General features: G+C 36.3%; 1 protein-coding gene across 38 annotated transcripts in view; it reads right to left on the minus strand.

The window, feature by feature from the left end:
* Positions 1-22,735, minus strand: part of PTPRD (protein tyrosine phosphatase receptor type D) — a 2,298,757-nt gene that overhangs the window by 1,611,231 nt on the left and 664,791 nt on the right. For 37 of the 38 annotated variants that reach the window (NM_002839.4, XM_017014961.3, XM_006716827.5 and 34 more), the window contains one exon: positions 13,031-13,134. The gene's annotated coding sequence lies outside the window, so the exon portion shown is untranslated. Of the gene's footprint in view, positions 1-13,030; positions 13,135-17,710; positions 17,846-22,735 lie in introns of all 38 variants that reach the window. The other variant, XM_047423641.1, reaches the window with a different exon arrangement.

Below are 22,735 nucleotides of genomic sequence, written 5' to 3' on the forward strand. Positions count from 1 at the left end.
TTTATGGTTTTGGATAACTAAAAGAATATGTGCTTCACTTCACATTAGTTTTTTTAAAGCATGTTTTTATTATTATAACAGTAATATTAAATATAGTGGTCTTTTTTCAGTACTTCTCATTTTTTTCAGCATTCAGATGACAAAATTTTTTAAAAAAAACTCTTCTACCTTACCTACCTGCATAACTAAACTGAGATTATTCCTTCTCTCACTCATTATGCTAACTTCTAATGTCGTGTCTCAAAAAATTTTCTTCTATGCACCTTTTTTCCTTTTATCTTTGTTTCATTGTAATGCTAGATAGATGATGACTTGTGAGAAAGAATCTCAAATCTATATACTAATCTCCCTTTGTTTGTTTGTTTGTTTTGAGTTAGGGTCTGGCTTTATCACCCAGGCTAGAGTACAGTGTCATGGTCATGGCTTACTGTAGCTTTGAACTCCTGGGCTAAAGAGATCCTCCCACCTCAGCCTCCTAAGTAGCTGGGAGTACAGATGTACAGCACCATGCCTAGAAAATTTTTTTTAAGTTTTTGTAGAAATGGGGTCTTTCTATGTTGCCCAGGCTGGTCTAGACTCCCAGGCTCAAGCGATCCTCCTGCTTCATCCTCCTAAAGTGCTGGGATTACAGGCATCAGCCACTGCACCTGGCCAACTTCTCTTATACGTTCCAGGCTTGTACTTCTAAATTCTACCTATCTTATACTTACCTAATATTTTCCTAAGTCAAGCCCTTGAAAACTCAGTATGAGCAAAAGAAACATTAATATTTTTTGAGAATAACTGTATGGTAGTGTTAATCATCTCAGAAGAATTGCTGGGAAACAGTACAATAAAACAGGAAAAATAGTGGATATTAAGACAGAAAGGGATCATCATCATACAAATTTTTAGTTGTATTTGCCCAAATTGTGTTGAAGGGGATAAAGCCAGGGAATATGGAAAGAAAAAAGGAAGATATCAAGGAGGCTATGAAAGAGGACTCAGATCTTGGAACGATGTATTTTTTTCAGTAAATACATGATGAATGCATACAACAGAGAAAAAGAGCAGAAAAGAGAAAGAAAAAACCAAACTCTATGATTTAAAATTTCACTGAATGTGAAGATAATTGTATCATTAAAATAACTGAGAAAGGGTAGAAATAAAAATCATAAGCTTCAAATATATATGACTTATTGTTGACAAAAATGATAGTTGAAAGCTAAAGCCAAAATTTCTAACTAGGGTTAATGTGAAGATTTCAAGAGAAAATTTAATAAAGAACTACTTATGCAAGTGTTTTGAGAAATCAAAGGTATAGTTTACCCATGAGCATTTGTTTAGAGAGATAAAAGTCACTGAAATAAAATTTGTATTTTAAGCTGTACATTTTCAGTGTTATATCATAAATTGGAATTGTATTTATTACAAATGGAAAAAGCTTTCCTGTAGCACACCAAGATTAGTTTTAATAGGTTCAAGAATTGTTGATTTGTAACCTTAAGACTATTAGTGTTGTGGAAAATTAAATATAATTAGGTATTGCAGGAAAAAGTGTTCATTGAAGTTTATATTTTATATGCCTTAGGAGATTAATTTTGCTTATTAGTTTTGTGATATTTAAGCACCGCTATAAACATCACAGATTTTGTAATAACCATTATATACTTAACCAGTATAAAATATTGAGTATTTCTATATTAGAATATTTAAAAGCATTTCTACTTGTGATTTCACTGGGGGTACAACACAATGTAAACTATACCCACTGCTGGAGGAGGAGCATGAAATAAAGAACTCTTCGGGCGAACACTTAAAACCCACCTAAATCAATCTCTGTGTTTTCTTTTCAGTATTACCTTCCATTATTACTACCCTTTATTATGAAAGCATTGCTAGCTGTCCTTTCCTAAGTGCCCTCTACATTCAAATTCACCATTTCTGTATGTACTATTCCCTACATCTGCAATGCCATTCCCAGCCCACACATCTGCCCTATTGGATTTATATCAAATTCAGCTTTCCTCAAGAAGCCTTCTCAGTTGCTTTAACAAAAATTACTGGTCTGTCTTCTGGAAAACAATTGGTGTCTGATCTCTCCTTATCTTTTAGCACCTAACACTAATAGTATAGTTATGTAAAGGAATGCGTGTGTGTACATAATAACATACTATTTAGTATCTAAATACACCGTGCATCTCCTATGATGGATAAATTACAAGTATATTATTAATATCTATCTATTTTTCCCATACATCTAATGCAGTGCAATGTTCATAGATTCTTAATATTGTTTGAAATATTGCCTCTTTCTTTAGTCATTGAGAGCCATCTTTTTCAGAGTCAATTTCATTCTTCTAGCCCTAGCTTATTTTCATGTCATTTGCATTTTCTTGAGATATGTGAATAAAGGACACGGGAAGAAAATGCAGTTGAGAGGTTGGCGAGTAGAAAGCTAATTCACTCAGATTTTACTACATATTGTTTGGAAGCCTAAGTTGTTTGGGTACAACTAACATAAAACTTGTTTTTATGTATTATAGGCATATATTCTTAAATGACTAATGAACTCTGCTTCATGTGAACAACGTTTCATCTTCTGATCATTTTCAATATTTTATTACACTTTGAAAAGTATTGTAGTGCTCCAGAAAATATAATGTCAACCGTTAAAATTCAACTTTACTACAGTTGTTGGCAATATTAAATAACTTTTGTTGCTGCATGATGTTAGCTGCAGCTTAAATTTCAGATCATGAAGTGTTATTAATATTACATGGTTAGAATTAATTTCCAGATCAATGAATCAATGCTATCTTAATATTCTTTGCCTTTAAATTTCATACCACATTATTTTGTGAGTGGATTTCATAAAAGGAAGATGCTTTATGTTGCCAAGCTCATTATCTTGAGTTTTTGTCCAGAACTGAATTCCCTTTGTTATCAAAGGACAGAGAGAGCACCTTAAAAACTATTGAACAATGCTGATTTGATGGGCAGGCAATTTACATTAAACTTAAAAGGAGGGAATTTTCTTTGCAAATATGTAAAGATCACTTACACAAAGTAAAGAGATATTTCACTATGGGAACAACAACAAAGACAGACTCACAATGCCATAAAGTGGAAAAAATGATTAACATGGAAAAATCCATTACTACTGTTATTAGAATATTAACTAATCTGAATATTTTATTTGTAAACTCGACTAGTGATACCTGACCTTGTATTTGGTGAAAGAAAATAAAGAACAAACTTAATTTCACACCTAATACAGTAGCAGTCATCTCTCTCTCTATACACACACACACACACACACACACACACACAATTTGCATTTTGGAAGAAAACTTAATTTTTTGAAGCCAGTTATTTTCTTTAAACTTGATGCTTTGGTAAGCTATTATTTCACTTGGTAATATCAATTAGTTTTCACACTTATAAAGTACTTAAACATTTATAAAATATTTGTAAAAGGCTTTCACAAATACAGTAGTTGATTTATAAAATAGAGACTATTTAGAACAAATAAATGATTTAAGTCTCAGAGGTTCGAAGAGACTTATATGCTCTGGTCTGTATAACTCATACATGGCAGAGTAGATAATTGAGCCTAAGCAATAGATACCATATCTGTCCGCTATACCTATTTTACTATGTCACTAACTCTGTGATCCTTCTAGTCTCCACTTAGTGTTTGTTAGCTCCCACATTTAGGATGTGCATACTGGGGGAGAAGAACACAAGAAAGAATGATGAAGGATTATCAAGAGTAAATTAACAATTAAAATGCTTATATTCACAAACTTGCCCCTTTGGACCAGTAAAGTTAACTTGAGTCTACTCAGTCAACCTGGGCAGCCCTTCCTCTATACCCCTTGCTATCAAGGAGTATTTTGCTTTTTGAAACTTGATAATGGGGAGGGCCAGAAGAGAAAACACTTGTTTTTTGAGACAGAGTCTCACTACTCTGTCACCAGGCTGAAGTGCAGTGGCGTGATCTTGTCTCACTGCAACCTCTGCCTCCTGGGTTCAAACGATTCTTCTGCCTCAGCCTCCCATGCAGCTGGGACTACAGGCATGTGCCACCATGCCCAGCTAACTTTTATATTTTTAGTAGAGACAGGGTTTCACCATGTTGGCCAGGATAGTCTCAATCTCTTGACCTCGTGATCTGCCCACCTCAGCCTCACAAAGTGCTGAGATTACAGGCTCAAGCCACAGCGCCTGGCCAAGAAAACACTTTTAAAGAGGTTTCTGAAAGAGACAGGGCCTGGATAAGGTTGATTTAATAATGGAGGATGTCCCTAGGAAGTTTAAATTTAAAAAGTTACATAGAGCTATGTGATGAATGTGGTCTACTTGTACTACATCATGTTCTACAAAGAGAATATGAGTTATTTTGAAATTACAGCTGGTCTGTTTTCTTTTGCCATAGTACTGCTCTGATTTTGGATGACATGGGTCACAATATAATGAGGACACCAGAGATAATGGACAGTACTCATACTCAAGGTTATACTCATTTACCACCTAGTTCAGGAGTCAGATACTCAGTCTGTAGGAAACAAAACAAAACAAAACACCAGAGCATAAGAAGTACTATGAGATAAAGCAGAGCTATAGGAATACACTACTTAGGGCTGGGAGCTCCAGGAGTATCTACCTGAAGAAGTTACACAAATGAGCGCTCAAGGGAGGAAGGAAAAACCAGACATCAGCACTGGAAACAGTTTAGGAGACCTGCAGTTCATTTGGTATGTTGATCTAGTACACAATTAGAGTGTGCCTTTGGTTAGAGTCACAGAATTGGGAATATCGAAGCCATGGACATAAGTGAGATCATTCAAATAGAACACACACAGAGAATAAAAAGGGCAAGAATGGACCTGGAAACCACAGTCTATGGGGAAGACAAGAACAGAGAAGTCTGAGAAAGAGACTGTTAACAATATTTCTACAGAGTTTATTTTTAAAATGACATTTTCACATAAAAACAATTTCTTGTATGTTTGAGTTTTCAAATGTAAACAAATGTACAACTCATTCATGTGTCACTCAAACTGGATAAAGAACTGCAGAAAAAGCATTGAAACAGAAGTAACTTTGAATATTTGATAAAGAAAAATCTTATTGTGATTATATAATGTAATTTTTATTAAAAATGCAGTATTTTAAAGTTTAAGTATATGATGAAAGATAGCATTGAGTATATCAGTATGGCTATTCTGCTTACACTTGACACAAATATAATATTTAAATTTATGAAATATGTATTATTTATACTTTTCCACAAAATGAAGCAGAACAATATAAGTGAGCATAATATGTATGTTTATCCATGTAAATAGGTCAATTTTGATTATTATAAACACTATTAAAAGCACATTTCTGTATGGTTACCCTTGAAGTCCCTACTCAAATTTCTTTCCTTTTAAAGGACTTTACGCATTTACTAGATAGGAATTACTACCATGACTCTCCCGAATTCATAATTTTCCTTAGTATAAAATAAAAATATATTTAAATATGCTTTTAACACAAATAGAATTTTACTCCAATTCTGTATTATAACTTGATTTTAATCCCTCTAGAAAATATGGTGACTATTTTTTCACAACCTCATTATTCTTCTATCCTATTTTTATGAAACAATTTAATTGACAATTTTCAAAATTAGAAGTTACTTTTTTCCTATAGAAAAAAATTGATTGTAACAACAAGTTAAAAATAAAAAAAAGAATTAAAAATTACTGGGGAGGAGCCAAGATGGCCGAATAGGAACAGCTCCGGTCTACAGCTCCCAGCGTGAGCGACGCAGAAGACAGGTGATTTCTGCATTTCCATCTGAGGTACAGGGTTCATCTCACTAGGGAGTGCCAGACAGTGGGCGCAGGTCAGTGGGTGCGTGCACCGTGCGTGAGCCGAAGCAGGGCGAGGCATTGCCTCACTCCAGAAGTGCAAGGTGTCAGGGAGTTCCCTTTCCTAGTCAAAGAAAGGGGTGACAGATGGCACCTGGAAAATCGGGTCGCTCCCACCCGAATACTGCGCTTTTCCGACGGGCTTAAAAAACAGTGCACCAGGAGATTATATCCCGCACGTGGCTCGGAGGGTCCTATGCCCACGGAGTCTCGCTGATTGCTAGCACAGCAGTCTGAGATCAAACTGCAAGACGGCAACGAGGCTGGGGGAGGGGCGCCCACCATTGCCCAGGCGTGCTTAGGTAAACAAAGCAGCTGGGAAGCTCGAACTGGGTGGAGTCCACCACAGCTCAAGGAGGCCTGCCTACCTCTGTAGGCTCCACCTCTGGGGGCAGGGCACAGACAAACAAAAAGACAGCAGTAACCTCTGCAGACTTAAATGTCCCTGTCTGACAGCTTTGAAGAGAGCAGTGGTTCTCCCAGCACGCAGCTGGAGATCTGAGAACGGGCAGACTGCCTCCTCAAGTGGGTCCCTGACCCCTGACCCCCGAGCAGCCTAACTGGGAGGCACCCCCCAGCAGGGGCACACTGACACCTCACACAGCAGAGTACTCCAACAGACCTGCAGCTGAGGGTCCTGTCTGTTAGAAGGAAAACTAACAAACAGAAAGGACATCCACACCAAAAACCCATCTGTACATCACCATCATCAAAGACCAAAAGTAGATAAAACCACAAAGATGGGGAAAAAACAGAACAGAAAAACTGGAAACTCTAAAATGCAGAGTGCCTCTCCTCCTCCAAAGGAACGCAGTTCCTCACCAGCAAAAGAACAAAGCTGGATGGAGAATAACTTTGACGAGCTGAGAGAAGAAGGCTTCAGACGATCAAATTACTCTGAGCTACGGGAGGACATTCAAACCAAAGGCAAAGAAGTTGAAAACTTTGAAAAAAATTTAGAAGAATGTATAACTAGAATAACCAATACAGAGAAGTGCTTAAAGGAGCTGATGGAGCTGAAAACCAAGGCTCCAGAACTACGTGAAGAATGCAGAAGCCTCAGGAGCCGATGCAATCAACTGGAAGAAAGGGTATCAGCAATGGAAGATGAAATGAATGAAATGAAGCGAGAAGGGAAGTTTAGAGAAAAAAGAATAAAAAGAAATGAGCAAAGCCTCCAAGAAATATGGGACTATGTGAAAAGACCAAATCTACATCTGATTGGTGTACCTGAAAGTGATGGGGAGAATGGAACCAAGTTGGAAAACACTCTGCAGGATATTATCCAGGAGAACTTCCCCAATCTAGCAAGGCAGGCCAACGTTCAGATTCAGGAAATACAGAGAACGCCACAAAGATACTCCTCGAGAAGAGCAACTCCAAGACACATAATTGTCAGATTCACCAAAGTTGAAATGAAGGAAAAAATGTTAAGGGCAGCCAGAGAGAAAGGTCGGGTTACCCTCAAAGGGAAGCCCATCAGACTAACAGCAGATCTCTCGGCAGAAACCCTACCAGCCAGAAAAGAGTGGGGGCCAATATTCAACATTCTTAAAGAAAAGAATTTTCAACCCAGAATTTCATATCCAGCCAAACTAAGCTTCATAAGTGAAGGAGAAATAAAATCCTTTACAGACAAGCAAATGTTGAGAGATTTTGTCACCACCAGGCCTGCCCTAAAACAGCTCCTGAAGGAAGCGCTAAACATGGAAAGGAACAACTGGTACCAGCCGCTGCAAAATCATGCCAAAATGTAAAGACCATCGAGACTAGGAAGTAACTGCATCAACTAACGTGCAAAATAACCAGCTAACATCATAATGACAGGATCAAATTCACACATAACAATATTAACTTTAAATGTAAATGGAGTACATGCTCCAATTAAAAGACACAGACTGGCAAATTGGATAAAGAGTCAAGACCCATCAGTGTGCTGTATTCAGGAAACCCATCTCACATGCAGAGACACACACAGGCTCAAAATAAAAGGATGGAGGAAGATCTACCAAGCAAATGGAAAACAAAAAAAGGCAGGGGTTGCAATCCTAGTTTCTGATAAAACAGACTTTAAACCAACAAAGATCAAAAGAGACAAAGAAGGCCATTACATAGTGGTAAAGGGATCAATTCAACAAGAAGAGCTAACTATCCTAAATATATATACACCCAACACAGGAGCACCCAGATTCATAAAGCAAGTCCTGAGTGACCTACAAGGAGACTTAGACTCCCACACATTAATAATGGGAGACTTTAACACCCCACTGTCAACATTAGACAGATCAACCAGACAGAAAGTCAACAAGGATACCCAGGAATTGAACTCAGCTCTGCACCAAGCGGACCTAATAGACATCTACAGAACTCTCCACCCCAAATCAACAGAATATACATTTTTTTCAGCACCACACCACACCTATTCCAAAATTGACCACATACTTGGAAGTAAAGGTCTCCTCAGAAAATGTAAAAGAACAGAAATTATAACAAACTATCTCTCAGACCACAGTGCAATCAAACTAGAACTCAGGATTAAGAATCTCACTCAAAGCTGCTCAACTACATGGAAACTGAACAACCTGCTCCTGAATGACTACTGGGTACATAATGAAATGAAGGCAGAAATAAAGATGTTCTTTGAAACCAACGAGAACAAAGACACAACATACCAGAATCTCTGGGACACATTCAAAGCAGTGTGTAGAGGGAAATTTATAGCACTAAACGCCCACAAGAGAAAGCAGGTAAGATCCAAAATTGACACCCTAACATCACAATTAAAAGAACTAGAAAAGCAAGAGCAAACACATTCAAAAGCTAGCAGAAGGCAAGAAATAAGTAAGATCAGAGCAGAACTGAAGGAAATAGAGACACAAAAAACCCTTCAAAAAAATCAATGAATCCAGGAGCTGGTTTTTTGAAAAGATCAACAAAATAGACTGCTAGCAAGACTAATAAAGAAGAAAAGAGAGAAGAATCAAATAGATGCAATAAAAAATGATAAAGGGGATATCGCCACCGATCCCACAGAAAGACAAACTACCATCAGAGAATACTACAAACGCCTCTATGCAAATAAACTAGAAAATCTAGAAGAAATGGATAAATTCCTCGACACATACACTCTCCCAAGACTAAACCAGGAAGAAGTTGAATCTCTGAATAGACCAATAACAGGATCTGAAATTATGGCAATAATCAATAGCTTACCAACCAAAAAGAGTCCAGGACCAGATGGATTCACAGCTGAATTCTCGCAGAGGTACAAGGAGGAACTGGTACCATTCCTTCTGAAACTATTCCAATCAACAGAAAAAGAGGGAATCCTCCCTAACTCATTTTATGAGGCCAGCATCATTTTAATACCAAAGCCGGGCAGAGACACAACCAAAAAAGAGAATTTTAGACCAATATCCTTGATGAATATTGATGCAAAAATCCTCAATAAAATACTGGCAAAACGAATCCAGCAGCACATCAAAAAGCTTATCAACCATGATCAAGAGGGCTTCATCCCTGGGATGCAAGGCTGGTTCAATATATGCAAATCAATAAATATAATCCAGCATATAAACAGAGCCAAAGACAAAAACCACATGATTATCTCAATAGATACAGAAAAGGCCTTTGACAAAATTCAACAACCATTCATGCTAAAAACTCAATAAATTAGGTATTGATGGGATGTATTTCAAAATAATAAGAGCTCTCTATGACAAACCCACAGCCAATATCATACTGAATGGGCAAAAACTGGAAGCATTCCCTTTGAAAACTGGCACAAGACAGGGATGCCCTCTCTCACCACTCCTATTCAACATAGTGTTGGAAGTTCTGGCCAGGGCAATCAGGCAGGAGAAGGAAATAAAGGGTATTCAATTAGGAAAAGAGGAAGTCAAATTGTCCCTGTTTGCAGAAGACATGATTGTATATCTAGAAAACCCCATCATCGTCTCAGCCCAAAATCTCCTTAAGCTGATAAGCGACTTCAGCAGTCTCAGGATACAAAATCAATGTACAAAAATCACAAGCATTCTTATACACCAACAACAGACAAACAGAGAGCCAAATCATGAGTGAACTCCCATTCACAATTGCTTCAAAGAGAATAAAATACCTAGGAATTCAACTTACAAGGGATGTGAAGGACCTCTCCAAGGAGAACTACAAACCAATGCTCAAGGAAATAAAAGAGGATACAAACAAATGGAAGAACATTCCATGCTCATGGGTAGGAACAATCAATATCGTGAAAATGGCCATACTGCCCAAGGTAATTTACAGATTCAATGCCATCCCCATCAAGCTACCAATGACTTTCTTCACAGAATTGGAAAAAACTACTTTAAAGTTCATATGGAACCAAAAAAAAAGCCCGCATTGCCAAGTCAATCCTAAGCCAAAAGAACAAAGCTGGAGGCATCACACTACCTGACTTCAAACTATACTACAAGGCTACAGTAACCAAAACAGCATGGTACTGGTACCAAAACAGAGATATAGATCAATGGAACAGAACAGAGCCCTCAGAAATAATGCTGCATATCTACAACTATCTGATCTTTGACAAACCTGACCAAAACAAGCAATGGGGAAAGGATTCCCTATTTAATAAATGGTGCTGGGAAAACTGGCTAGCCATATGTAGAAAGCTGAAACTGGATCCCTTCCTTACACCTTATACAAAAATCAATTCAAGATGGATTAAAGACTTAAACGTTCGACCTAAAACCATAAAAGCCCTAGAAGAAAACCTAGGCATTACCATTCAGGACATAGGCATGGGCAAGGACTTCATGTCTAAAACACCAAAAGCAATGGCAACAAAAGCCAAAATTGACAAATGGGATCTAATTAAACTAAAGAGCTTCTGCACAGCAAAAGAAACTACCATCAGAGTGAACAGGCAACCTAAAAAATGGGAGAAAATTTTCACAACCTACTCATCTGACAAAGGGCTAATATCCAGAATCTACAATGAACTCAAACAAATTTACAAGAAAAAAACAACCCAATTAAAAAGTGGGCGAAGGACATGAACAGACACTTCTCAAAAGAAGACATTTATGCAGCCAAAAAACACATGAAAAAATGCTCACCATCACTGGCCATCAGAGAAATGCAAATCAAAACCACAATGAGATACAATCTCACACCAGTTAGAATGGCGATCATTAAAAAGTCAGTAAACAACAGGTGCTGGAGAGGATGTGGAGAAATAGGAACACTTTTACACTGTTGGTGGGACTGTAAACTAGTTCAACCATTGTGGAAGTCAGTGTGGCGATTCCTCAGGGATCTAGAACTAGAAATACCATTTGACCCAGCCATCCCATTACTGGGTATATACCCAAAGGACTATAAATCATGCTGCTATAAAGACACATGCACCCGTATGTTTATTGCGGCATTATTCACAATAGCAAAGACTTGGAACCAACCCAAATGTCCAACAATGATAGACTGGATTAAGAAAATGTGGCACATATACACCATGGAATACTATGCAGCCATAAAAAATGATGAGTTCATGTCCTTTGTAGGGACATGGATGTAATTGGAAATCATCATTCTCAGTAAACTATCACAAGAACAAAAAACCAAACCCCACATATTCTCACTCATAGGTGGGAATTGAACAATGAGATCACATGGACACAGGAAGGGGAACATCACACTCTGGGGACTGTTGTTGGGTTGGGGGAAGGGGGAGGGATAGCACTGGGAGATATACCTAATGCTAGATGATGAGTTAATGGGTGCAGCGCACCAGCATGGCACATGTATACATATGTAACTAACCTGCACAATGTGCACATGTACCCTAAAACTTAAAGTAAAATAATAAAAAAAAATAAAAAATAAAAAATAAAAAATAAATTACTATATTGGTCTCTTTTATCTTTTTTCTCTATATACACATAAAAGTTATCTTATAAAGACATTTTAATCCAATTTCTAAAATTTAAATATATGCCTGCTCCTTCTTTCATGTCAGAAGTATTTTTTCTCAAGCATGTGTTTTAATAGTTCCATAGATAAATAAAAAAAAAAAATAGTTCCATAGAATTTTACTATTAGAAAAAATATTTTATAAATTTTATACAAGTATATATTTGGGCTATTTATGACTATAAAAACATAATTCTGTTTAAATATTTTCAGATATTCCTAATTATTTACTCACATTAAATCACAAGATACAGAATTGCTATGGAGGAGGGATTGTTGAGGTATTTCATAAATAGACCAAATACTTATTACATGTTTCTTGTATCTATTTTATAGCATTTGTCCTAGTACTGTTGATGAGTTTATCTTCTTTACTATTCTTTGAAACTGTGGAAGACAGATTGCATGTGAATTACCCATAAGTTATGTGTAGGCCCACCATGTAGTTCTTACAGTGTATGAAAATCATTTAAAAAAATAAGCTGTATAATACATATATTTCATTCCCTAAACTGTTATTCTATTCAGTTTACCAAAGTTTCATATTAATGTTTCTACATGATGTGATTAATATATTCTGGCTATGGATTTCTGAAGGTACAGACTCAGAGTGGATCATAACTGGAATTGGAGGCAGAGATCTTACCTCTTGTAATTTTAAGACTGGTAATCGAGGAGTCTTTTGAGTTATTGGATTATCTGCTTGCCCTTATTGCCTAACTCTGGAAATGACAAAACCTGAGGTCCTGAAGGGTTACTCGGCCCTCAGGTGATTACCAGTAAGGTGGCACTGAACAATGTGTCAGTTGAAATGCTTAATGATAACTCTGGTTTCCCACTCTGGATCACTACTACAAACAGCTTTCAGTCTTATGAGGTTCTAGCATTTACTCTACTTCTAGCTCAGATATTTTGATCCTCAGTTCAGAAAGAAATCCATTCATAGTTACCTGTTCTACAACTTGAAATTAGGTGGATTAAAAAGTATATGCATTGACCTAAAGACACTATCGAATTTTAAAATTATACTATTTTAAAGAAATGCAGTGTTTTCGTATTTTGAAAGCGTAAAAGGGTTGATGGAGTTACATCATTAATTCTGTAGATAGAAGTCCAAAAAATACACATCTTGTGTCATGGGAAACTAGCATACCCAGTCATACTGAACTCACCTGGAGCCGAAGCCCATCGCTTCCCTCGGTGCCAACATGCTGTCAGTCAGACACCTCTAACTGGAATATCACGGGCCAGGAACTGCTTGCCTTTTATTTTCCACCTGGAACAAAACATAGTGTCAGTCATTTCTTCATGTTCCTTGAAGCACAATAAGATATTCATTATGTTATCTTTTCCTGTCACATTAGACACTCATTTATCAGAATGCTCAACACAAAGGAAAGAAGTATAAACTCTTCACCTCTATAATTTACATCTGAGGGATTAATATAGCACCTGTATAAGTCAAAGGGACCATCTATATTTTATCTCCTATAAAATCTTCCTTATAAAAGGTTATTTATTACTTGAGCACAATCATTCCTATCCATTTGGTATAAGTAATTGATGCGTTAATTTAAGAAGCCATTTTCCATATAGTGTCCTTGGAAACAGTAAATCAAAATACATTTTTAAACTCCAGAGAGAAGCTGATGTTGAAAATAATTCATTTTCTGAATTCCTTTTTTTTTTTTTAACCATGAAAAGGAATCTCAGTAGGAAACAGAATGTGATAATGCAATTGCATTAGTTTTATGCCTATGCTCTTTTGTATTTCTCAACTTGAGAGACACTGATAAAGAACACTGATGTTTTCTCAAACGCACCAGAGTGTTGCTACTATGGAAATAGACCGCTTGACCTCATGATAAAAATTATAGGCTTGACGAAAACCATAGAGCAGGGCTCCTGTATGAATGGAATGTGCCAGGTAGGGTCTTGTACTGCACACAAATAGAGCTACTGACCTTTAGTATTTTAGCCTTGCTCCAGTTTGGTAGACAACTGGGTGGTTGTAAGGAACTCTAAAAATGCAAGAGATGCAGCACTGTAGCAGTCTTCTTGTGGCTTGTGCAGTCTTTGATTTGTCTATGTCTGCCTCCCCAAGATTTGGAGTTTGTTGCTGAACTGAATTCATGATGAAGATCCTGCAATTTGGTGACCTCCTTTTTGATGCTCACTGCTTATCTGAATCTTCAAAACCAGGATTGACCAGGTCAATAAAACCTATTTCTTGATCTAACTGCCAGAGTACCCATTTACCTCTTGTTGTACCTACTTGGTATTAATTGCTTGCTTGGATCATCACCTGATGCCTGGTAACACCCTCTGTGAATGAATCATGTGGCTCCCTGTATTTTGGTAAATGCAGTGAAATCTGTCTTCTGGTGTCAAGCTTGGAACCACTTATTTTGTCTCATCTTGCTAATACTCATTTAGCTTAAGAGTTTTTTCTATGCAGTACGATGTGAAGGGCTCAAGAAAGTCCCACCAGAATTGCTTAATGTAAATCAAACCTTAAGAGCAAATATCATTCTCTCCTTGTAGCCCTTTTTAATCTCAGATCATTCTGGAATCCACTTTATCACCTTCATTTCTTCTGCTACTGCCACAATAAACTTTCATCAGTTCTCACTTAGATAATAACTTCCTGAATATGGATCTTGTGCCAGGTGAAAACAGATGGCACTTTCAAATTAGGGTAACTTGAGTAGAGCTTAATAAAGAACTCATTTATAAAAGTGTGGGCTGTATGTGGGGAAACCACAAGGAAGGTATGATGGAGTTGATACCATCTCTAGACTTGCAGGGATGAGGGGAGTGAGCAGTTACTGACATCTAAGAGTCAGATATATAGTGGGCCTCTTGGAGAGGAGCAATGATCTTGGTTTGGGAGTCACAGGTAGCGTAAGATGGCAGCACAGATGGAAGTCTGAGGATAAAGGATAAACCCCGCTCATCTTCTCCCTTACCTCTGGTTTCTTGACTAGACTACCTATGGGACAAACCTCACTGGAAGCCTGAGTGCTTTGGAGCCTGTCAATGAACTCCATCAGGCTAGTTGCCAGGGGAATAGGATAGGAAAGAAAGAGTGAGTCTAAAGGAAAAACGGAAGAGATCCAGCTAACACTCTTATGCATACTTAATGGGGTTTGAAATTAGATTTGAGTCCTATCTCTACCTAGATGTATAATTCTAGACCGATAACTTTTATAAATCTTGATATCATTATCTGTACAACAGAGATAATACATTCTTCTGAGTTTTGTTAAATTAAATCGCATAGCATACCTGGAGGCTATAATATTAACAAAAGTGTCAACAGCTCTCCTGTTGAAATACAAAAATAAATCAACAAACACATATATGCTCCAGTCATGCTGAGCTCTTCACCACTTGTTCTAATTGATCATGTATTTTCAAACTTCTGCACTTTCGTAAGGGTTGTTCCCTCCGCTTAAGAATGATTTCTCTTCCTACATTTCAACCCTGATTTGCCTAGAAAACTCTTGCTCATATTTTACAATCTATGAGATATGATCTGAAGGCTTTCTCCAGCTTTTTAATCAAGAAAAGGTGACCATTCCCTTCTTGTTCTTCCATGGCACACAGCTCTCCACAAATCACTTAGACCTGGGGGTGGGCAAGCTTTTGGCTTCCCTGGGCCACACCAGAAAAAAAAAGAGTTGTCTTGGGCTACACATAAGATACACTAACACTAATGACAGCTGATGAGAAAAAGAAAATTCCAAAAAAATCTCATGTTTTCTCATGTTTTAAGAAAATTTGTGAATTTGTGTTGGGCTACATTCAAAGCCGTCCTGGGCCGCATGCTGCCTGTGGGCTACAGGATGGACAAGCTTGATTTAGATCATGCCTGGCTTCCTATATGACTATGAGGGAAGGGAAAAGCTATGTCTGACAGATTTGTATGCTCAAAAGGTGGTTCACAGCCAGGTTCTTAATATTCAATAAACATTAAGTGAATGAAGAAATATGTGTATCTTATTTTAGACAGTCTCACTCTGATGCCCAGGCTGAAGGGCAGTGGCATGATCTCAGCTCGCTGCAATTTCTGCCTCTTGGGTTCAAGTGATTCTCCTGCCTAAGCCTCCCAAGTAGCTGGGATTACAGGAACCCAGCACCACGCCTGGGTAATTTTTGTATTTTTAGTAGAGATGGAGTTTCGCCGTATTGGCCAGGCTGTTCTTGAACTCCTGACATCAAGTGATCCACCGGCCTCAGCCTCCCAAAGTGCTAGGATTACTGGCGTGAGCCACTGAGCCCAGCCAAATGTGTATATCTATAATAAATTTGTCACAATGTAAGGAAAGGGTTCAGTAACTTCAATCCTCTTTTCCCAAAGGACAGATCGGCCTGTGACAACTGGTGCATGGTGGAGAGTAGAACAACTCTGAAGAAGAGGTCCCAAAGGAAACTCCAGTCACTTTTGTAACTTTTCTCTGGGAAGCCTTGCTGGAAAATTCATGTCATTCATTCCAAGGTTGCCAAAAGCACTACAATTGATTGATTTCCAGAAGAAAAATCAGTAGTTATTAGCTAACTATGACAACAAATACTTCTGTGTATATCTAATGTATTTGAATGATTTAAAATAAAGAGTTGAATCTCCAACATTTTCTGAAAGCCCAGCCAAAAGTTCTACCCCACAATTGTTAAAACATTTATTCCATTTTGTGACTAGGTAATGAATTCCTGTGAATCATGAATCTAAGCCACAGGAAATAGTACACAGGACAAAATATTACTCTCACACTTGCCTCCATGCTTCCCATTTCCCACCCTCACCAAAACCACATTGATTGGCATCTGTGTGTCTTTGCAAAATTTCCTTCTGGAAATACAAACGAATACAACCATACATATATTCTTATTCTCCACCTCCTTTAAAAAAATTCAATGATTTACCAATATTATGGGTCTTACATTTTTCACTTAAAGTTAGGTGGGCATTATATCAGTAAATAAAAAGCATCTTCATCATCTTCATTATTTTCAGCTTTATGTTTTTCTATTTTACTGATATACCATAATTTAACCAGCACTCTCCCCAAAACGATTTAAAAAACCCCTTTACCTATTAAAGAGTTTATAATAAATTACTATTTATGCATCAATTTGTATATAAGATGTACATCTGTAGAATAGATTTCTATAAGTATGTGTAGGAAGGTCAAGGGGCAAATGAATCTGTAACTATCAGATATAGTGCCCAATTTCCTTCCTTGAGAATCAAACTAATTTGTGCTTCTACCGACAATCTACAAGATTGCTTGGGTGGGCCGACTTCTACAATTTTGCAAATCTTACAGGTGAAAAGTTTTATATCAATGCTATTTTAATTAGCATTTAAAAAATTATAAGGTAGTTTGAGCATGTTTTCATAATATTTAAAGACATTTGTGTGTATTTTTCTGTGAAATTTGTTAATAGCTTTGCCATTTTTTATCCAAGTTGCAATTTATAACATTCTTTATCATCCTATACATTTTCAAAATGAATGAAAGCCATTAACTACGTCAGCAAAACATTGCTCTGAGTTGTTTTTTTTTTTTTTTAAAGCTTTTGTCCCAAGCTTTTCTTGCAATCCCATATATGAAAACTGAAAATCACAAAGCGGTGCCACAGTGCCCTCTGGTGGCATTCTGCTCCATTGCATCTTCCCTGCACTAACTCGGGGCAAAAGCTGATAGTGGATATAGCTGGATGTCAGTCTTACATAGGCTGTTAGCCTACCCAAGTCTCCTTGGTCCTGAGACAATATCGTAGTACAATCAAACTCAAAATGAAGACATATTAGATCTGTTTTAACCCTTAAAGAACCAGATTAGTACCTGGAACTTGTTAGATATCCTAATAGGCAGGATTCATCTCCTTCCTAGTTGTTACAAAAGATGGCCTTGGAATATTTTGTCAGAGGGCTGCAGTGGAGGTTTATTCTAGGCAGTCAGGCTCTGCTTCATTTTCCCCTGTACAGTAGTCAGATTAAAAGGGCTATCATCACTCTCTGGAATTTTTAGTATTCAATGTATCACAACGTCAGGTCAGTAAGAAGTTTGAAATTCATTCATTCATTCATTCCCAAAATATTTGAAATACTATGTGTAGTGTTCTAAGTATTTGTCAATTATGTTATTGAACAAATCAACAAAAATTACTGTCTTCATGGAACATATCTTCTAGTTGGAGGAGACAATGAATAGCGAACATGTAATTAAGCAAATAATATGCTATATTAGAAGATATTAGAAGCTGTGGGTTTGTGGCTGTTAGATGGCGATATTTTAGTTTAAAATAAAAGTGTAGTCATTTCAAGAAAGCAACATCTGAATAAGAATTTGAAGGAGGTACAGAAGCTAATTGTGCAGTTCTCTAGAGGAAGAGCCTTCTAGGAAGTAGAAACAGCCTTAAACCCATAGCATGCTTGGTAAGTACAGTAGACAACTGAAAAATCCTTTTTCAGGATTAAAGGATTCTTTTTTTCCAAGCTGCTGGGAGTGCTGCTGGACTGCTAGCCCCAGCTCTCATCCCAATCTGCAAATTGCCCTAAGCTGTCCATGCTCCTTCACCAATGTCTCACTAAATATATCTTCCTACATATTTCATTAACAGCTCCATTTTACTTTTTCTTGATTTTTATCTTCATGTCAGAGTATCTAAAAGTTGGAAAACTCAAGGCTTTAGTCTTCTTTTCTTTTAAATGAGCCCAACGACTGGTAAATACAGAGGAGAAAGGCTTAGCCTGTTAGTCACAAGACAGAAAACCTTCCAGTGACGTTGGCTGAAGCCTTTGTTGAGATTGCATTGCAGCTCATCTTTCCTGTTTGCCCATTCTTGCTTTGTTCCCTTCTCTTTCACAGATGTCAATCACTACAAAACTCCTTAACAACCTATAGTAGATATCTACTTATAACAATCTGTCTCAGTCCACCTATTTGAGGAGTAGTAAGGTATCCAGTGTGCAGCTGACAACTCGATACAACATTTATTCATTATTTCCATAAACATTTTTTGAGTATCTACTATGTGCTAGCACTAAGGCTGGCACTTAAAATACAGGAGTACAAATAAAATGCACACACATTTCTTTCTCCATATGAAGCTTTAATTATAGTAGAGAGTACAAAAATTAAATAAGATTAATAAAAAGATTAATAAAAAGATTTTTTTAATATGGGAATGAGGTAAATTCTTACTAAGGCAACATTTGAGTGAAGACCTGAAGGAAAAAAGGGAGTCAGGCATGTGTATAACTGGGTGAAGAGTATTCCAAGAATAGGCCACATGAAGAGCAAAGTCTAAGAAGAGAGCATACATAGATTGCTTAAAAACAGCAAGAAATCCAGCTTTTTTTTTTCCAGTGGATTGAATGAGGGAAAGACATGAGGAGAGTAGGTCAGGGTAATGAGGAGACACATAATCTAAATTTGAGTAAGTTATTTTAAAAACTGGAGACATTAGCTTTTACTTCAAATGAAATGGAAAGCCAGTGGGGTATTTTTTGAGTAGAAAGCAGAGAAGGTCCAGTTTGGCCAGATGTAGAGATGAGACTGAAGGAAGTTAAAATGAGAAGCAGAAAAACAACAAAAAGGCCTACTGTAAAAGTCTAGAAAAGAGATGAATATGACCAGACAAGTAGTGGAGAGGTGTTGAGAGGTAGCTAGAATATGGATTTGTCTGAAGGTAAAAAGAATTTGTGAGCAGATTTGATGTGGTATGTTAAAAGAAATTGATAAAGTATAACTGTATAGTTTTAGATCTATGTAAGAGGTTACCATTTTTCAGTTAAAGTTGATTACCAAGATAGTGGCTTGGATGGGATTATTAGGAGATCCACGTGGAAGTGTCAGTTGTAAGATGCCCGTTAGGCATTTGAATAAAACTAATAGGGAGGTAAATAAACCTGAGATTACGGAGAAAATATGCCTGGAAGCATAAATTTGGAAGTTATTAGGATATAGGTGGTATTATAAACATAGAGATCACATGAGGTCACCAAAGGGTGATGAAAGGAAAAGAGATTTAAAAGAAAAGAAGACTAAAGCCTTGGGTAGTCCAACTTTTAGATACTGGTGATATGAAGATAAAAATCAAGAAGAAGTAAAATGGAGCTGTTAATGAAATATGCAGGAAGTCAGAGAGTGGGGTCCCAGAAGCCAACCAAAAACAGTGATTCAAAAAGAAGTGTTCTCCTGTGTCCAAGGTGGCAGTTAAGTAATGCAAGTTGAAGAATTGCACATTGCACATGCAACACAGAGCTCATGGGTGACCATGACAAGATGTGCTCTAGTAAAATTGGAGGAGGATGCTGGATTGTAATCAAGATAATTTAAGAGGGGAGAAATTAGAGTACCTACATATATTATTTTCACACATAAATAGAACACTTCTGAAAGTCAACCAGATTTATGCTGAAAAGCAAACCTTAATACAGTTCCAAAAATTGAAATCCAATAGACCATGTTCTCTGACCATAATCAAAATAAGTTAAAAATCAGAAACAAAGAGCACACACACAAATCTATACGTACCTGAAATATTTTTTAAAAGATGGTTACTGACATTTGTAAATAACCAAAGAACTATTATTGTAAAATTTAAAATGATACAAATTAAATGATATAAAATTTAAAATGATACAAATTAAATGATATAAAAACTACTATATGTTAGAACTTGAGGAAGCCTTTTGGATCCTTTCCCAGTTGGGAAAGTCATCCTTCACTTTCCCAAGCTGGACACTGTTTACAGAGGAGTACTTAAATCTGCCATGCATACTAAATCATTACCTTGTACCTTCTAAGATAATAAGGCTTTGTGGTTTTCTTCTTCACTAGATTGCAAGCAGCTTAAACACAAGCAATTATACATCTTGCTCATTCTCAGCACTTGGCAAAATACCTAGAAAATAGGTGGTACTCAATACTTGCTTATTTAATGAATGGGTAAAAATGTGTGGACAATTAATCATGTTACAATAAGTATAACTGAGAGATGCACAAAGCACTACATATGGCTGAAAACATCTAGCTTAGTGAGTGGCATGTAAGAGGTTATACGTTAAATTGTGTCAAATTAATTAAAAAATAAACTCCCTCTTCAAAGTAGCTGCAAAATAAACTTACAGAAAGAGTGCAGGGTTCAATAGCTGATTATTAGTCCCCAGTAGGGATCCACTTCTGATTCTGGCTGTGACTTTTTGCCTGGATCTTACCGAGGCACACTCTTTTTGCAAAGGGAAACATATTCTTTCCTTACTGCAGGTCTCCAGACCACTGCTCCCCCAACCCTCCTGCATCGACACTGGCTTCTGGGAGAACAGCTTGATCAGAGGAAAAACTGGGAACTATCTCGCACAATACAGAGACCCTCTAATGTAGTAACAGACATCTAAGCTCTAAAAGCACAAATGTTGTTTTACTTCAACTCATGCCTAAAATATCAAGGGATTTTAACGATAGAATTAAAGCAAAACTCAAGTAGTTCCACTGAAACTTAAAATATGCTTTAATTGAAGTGCAATATTATGTGAAGCAGAACTATGAATATTTGCTGACACATTATCATTTTTACAATGCAAATGACAGAATGAATAACGATTATATATATTAAAATCCTGATTTTGGAAGCCATGCATAGAGTTCTATTTGCTTGTGAAGATCAGAAAATGCCTTAGAAAAATGAAGTTTTTATCCCAAGAGCCCCAAAATACCACAAAAGAAATGATCTTTTTATAAAAAATAACTTGGAAGAACTGAAAAGTTGACACGTCCCTTTATCATGTATTCCTATATGTACAAGAGGCATATTCAGTACAATGAGTAGTTCAGCTATACAGATACTCTCTCATTTAGTTTTCAGTAAGGTACTTTGGAATATAATGGTACATTTTAGATATCCAAATTCTTTTCTAGTTATACTTAACATGTGCTCTGGAGATTATATATATATTTTATATATATATTATATATATTATATATGTATTATATATATAATATATATTATATATATTATATATATATTATATATATTTTATATACATATTATATATAATATATATTTTATATATATATTATATATATATTATATATTTTATATATTTTTATATATACTATATATTATATATATTTTATATATATTATATATATTTTATATATATAATATATATATTATATATATTTTATATATAATATATATATTATATATATATTTTATATATATATTATATATATATTATATATATAATATATATATTTTATATATATATATTTTAAATATATATTTTATATATATATATATACACCATGGCATGTAGGTAGTAAAAGGTCAAGTTAGATTTTCGTTCTGATTTTTGGTTCTAAGGACTAAAATACTTGAAGTTAGCACTGTTGTGAGAAGTTCATCTTCCAAGAGACTTTTCCTATAACATGTATGAACCTAAAAAAAATCCATAAAGAGATTCAAGTAATGGTGCCTACTAAGCTTATTTTGTTAAATCAGCCATCCCTGACAGTGAATATATCTATTTTTAGATAGAATGAATCAAGAAAGACAGCCTTATAGGGAGCAGATCAGTAGGGAACTTCATTTGTCTAGAAGTTATCTACGAGTTTCCTTGTTGCAGGAATATCCTGGTAGCAAGATTTTTTTCTTCTTGACTTTATGAAGAAGGGAGATAGATGAAGAAAGGTAAAAATGAAGACAGAGGAAAAAGGAGAAAGCTCAGAACATGAAGAGTAGTCAAGATTTTTATTGTTGATTATAAAATGTGTTACTATTTATTTGCCTTATGGGGTCTGCTCATCATTCAGGGCCCTATTCAAAGTCACCTTCCTTGTGAACATGAGGCTATCCTCCTA

This window comes from Homo sapiens, chromosome 9 (assembly GCF_000001405.40).
Source record: "Homo sapiens chromosome 9, GRCh38.p14 Primary Assembly".
Classification (NCBI taxonomy): Eukaryota; Metazoa; Chordata; class Mammalia; order Primates; family Hominidae; genus Homo; species Homo sapiens.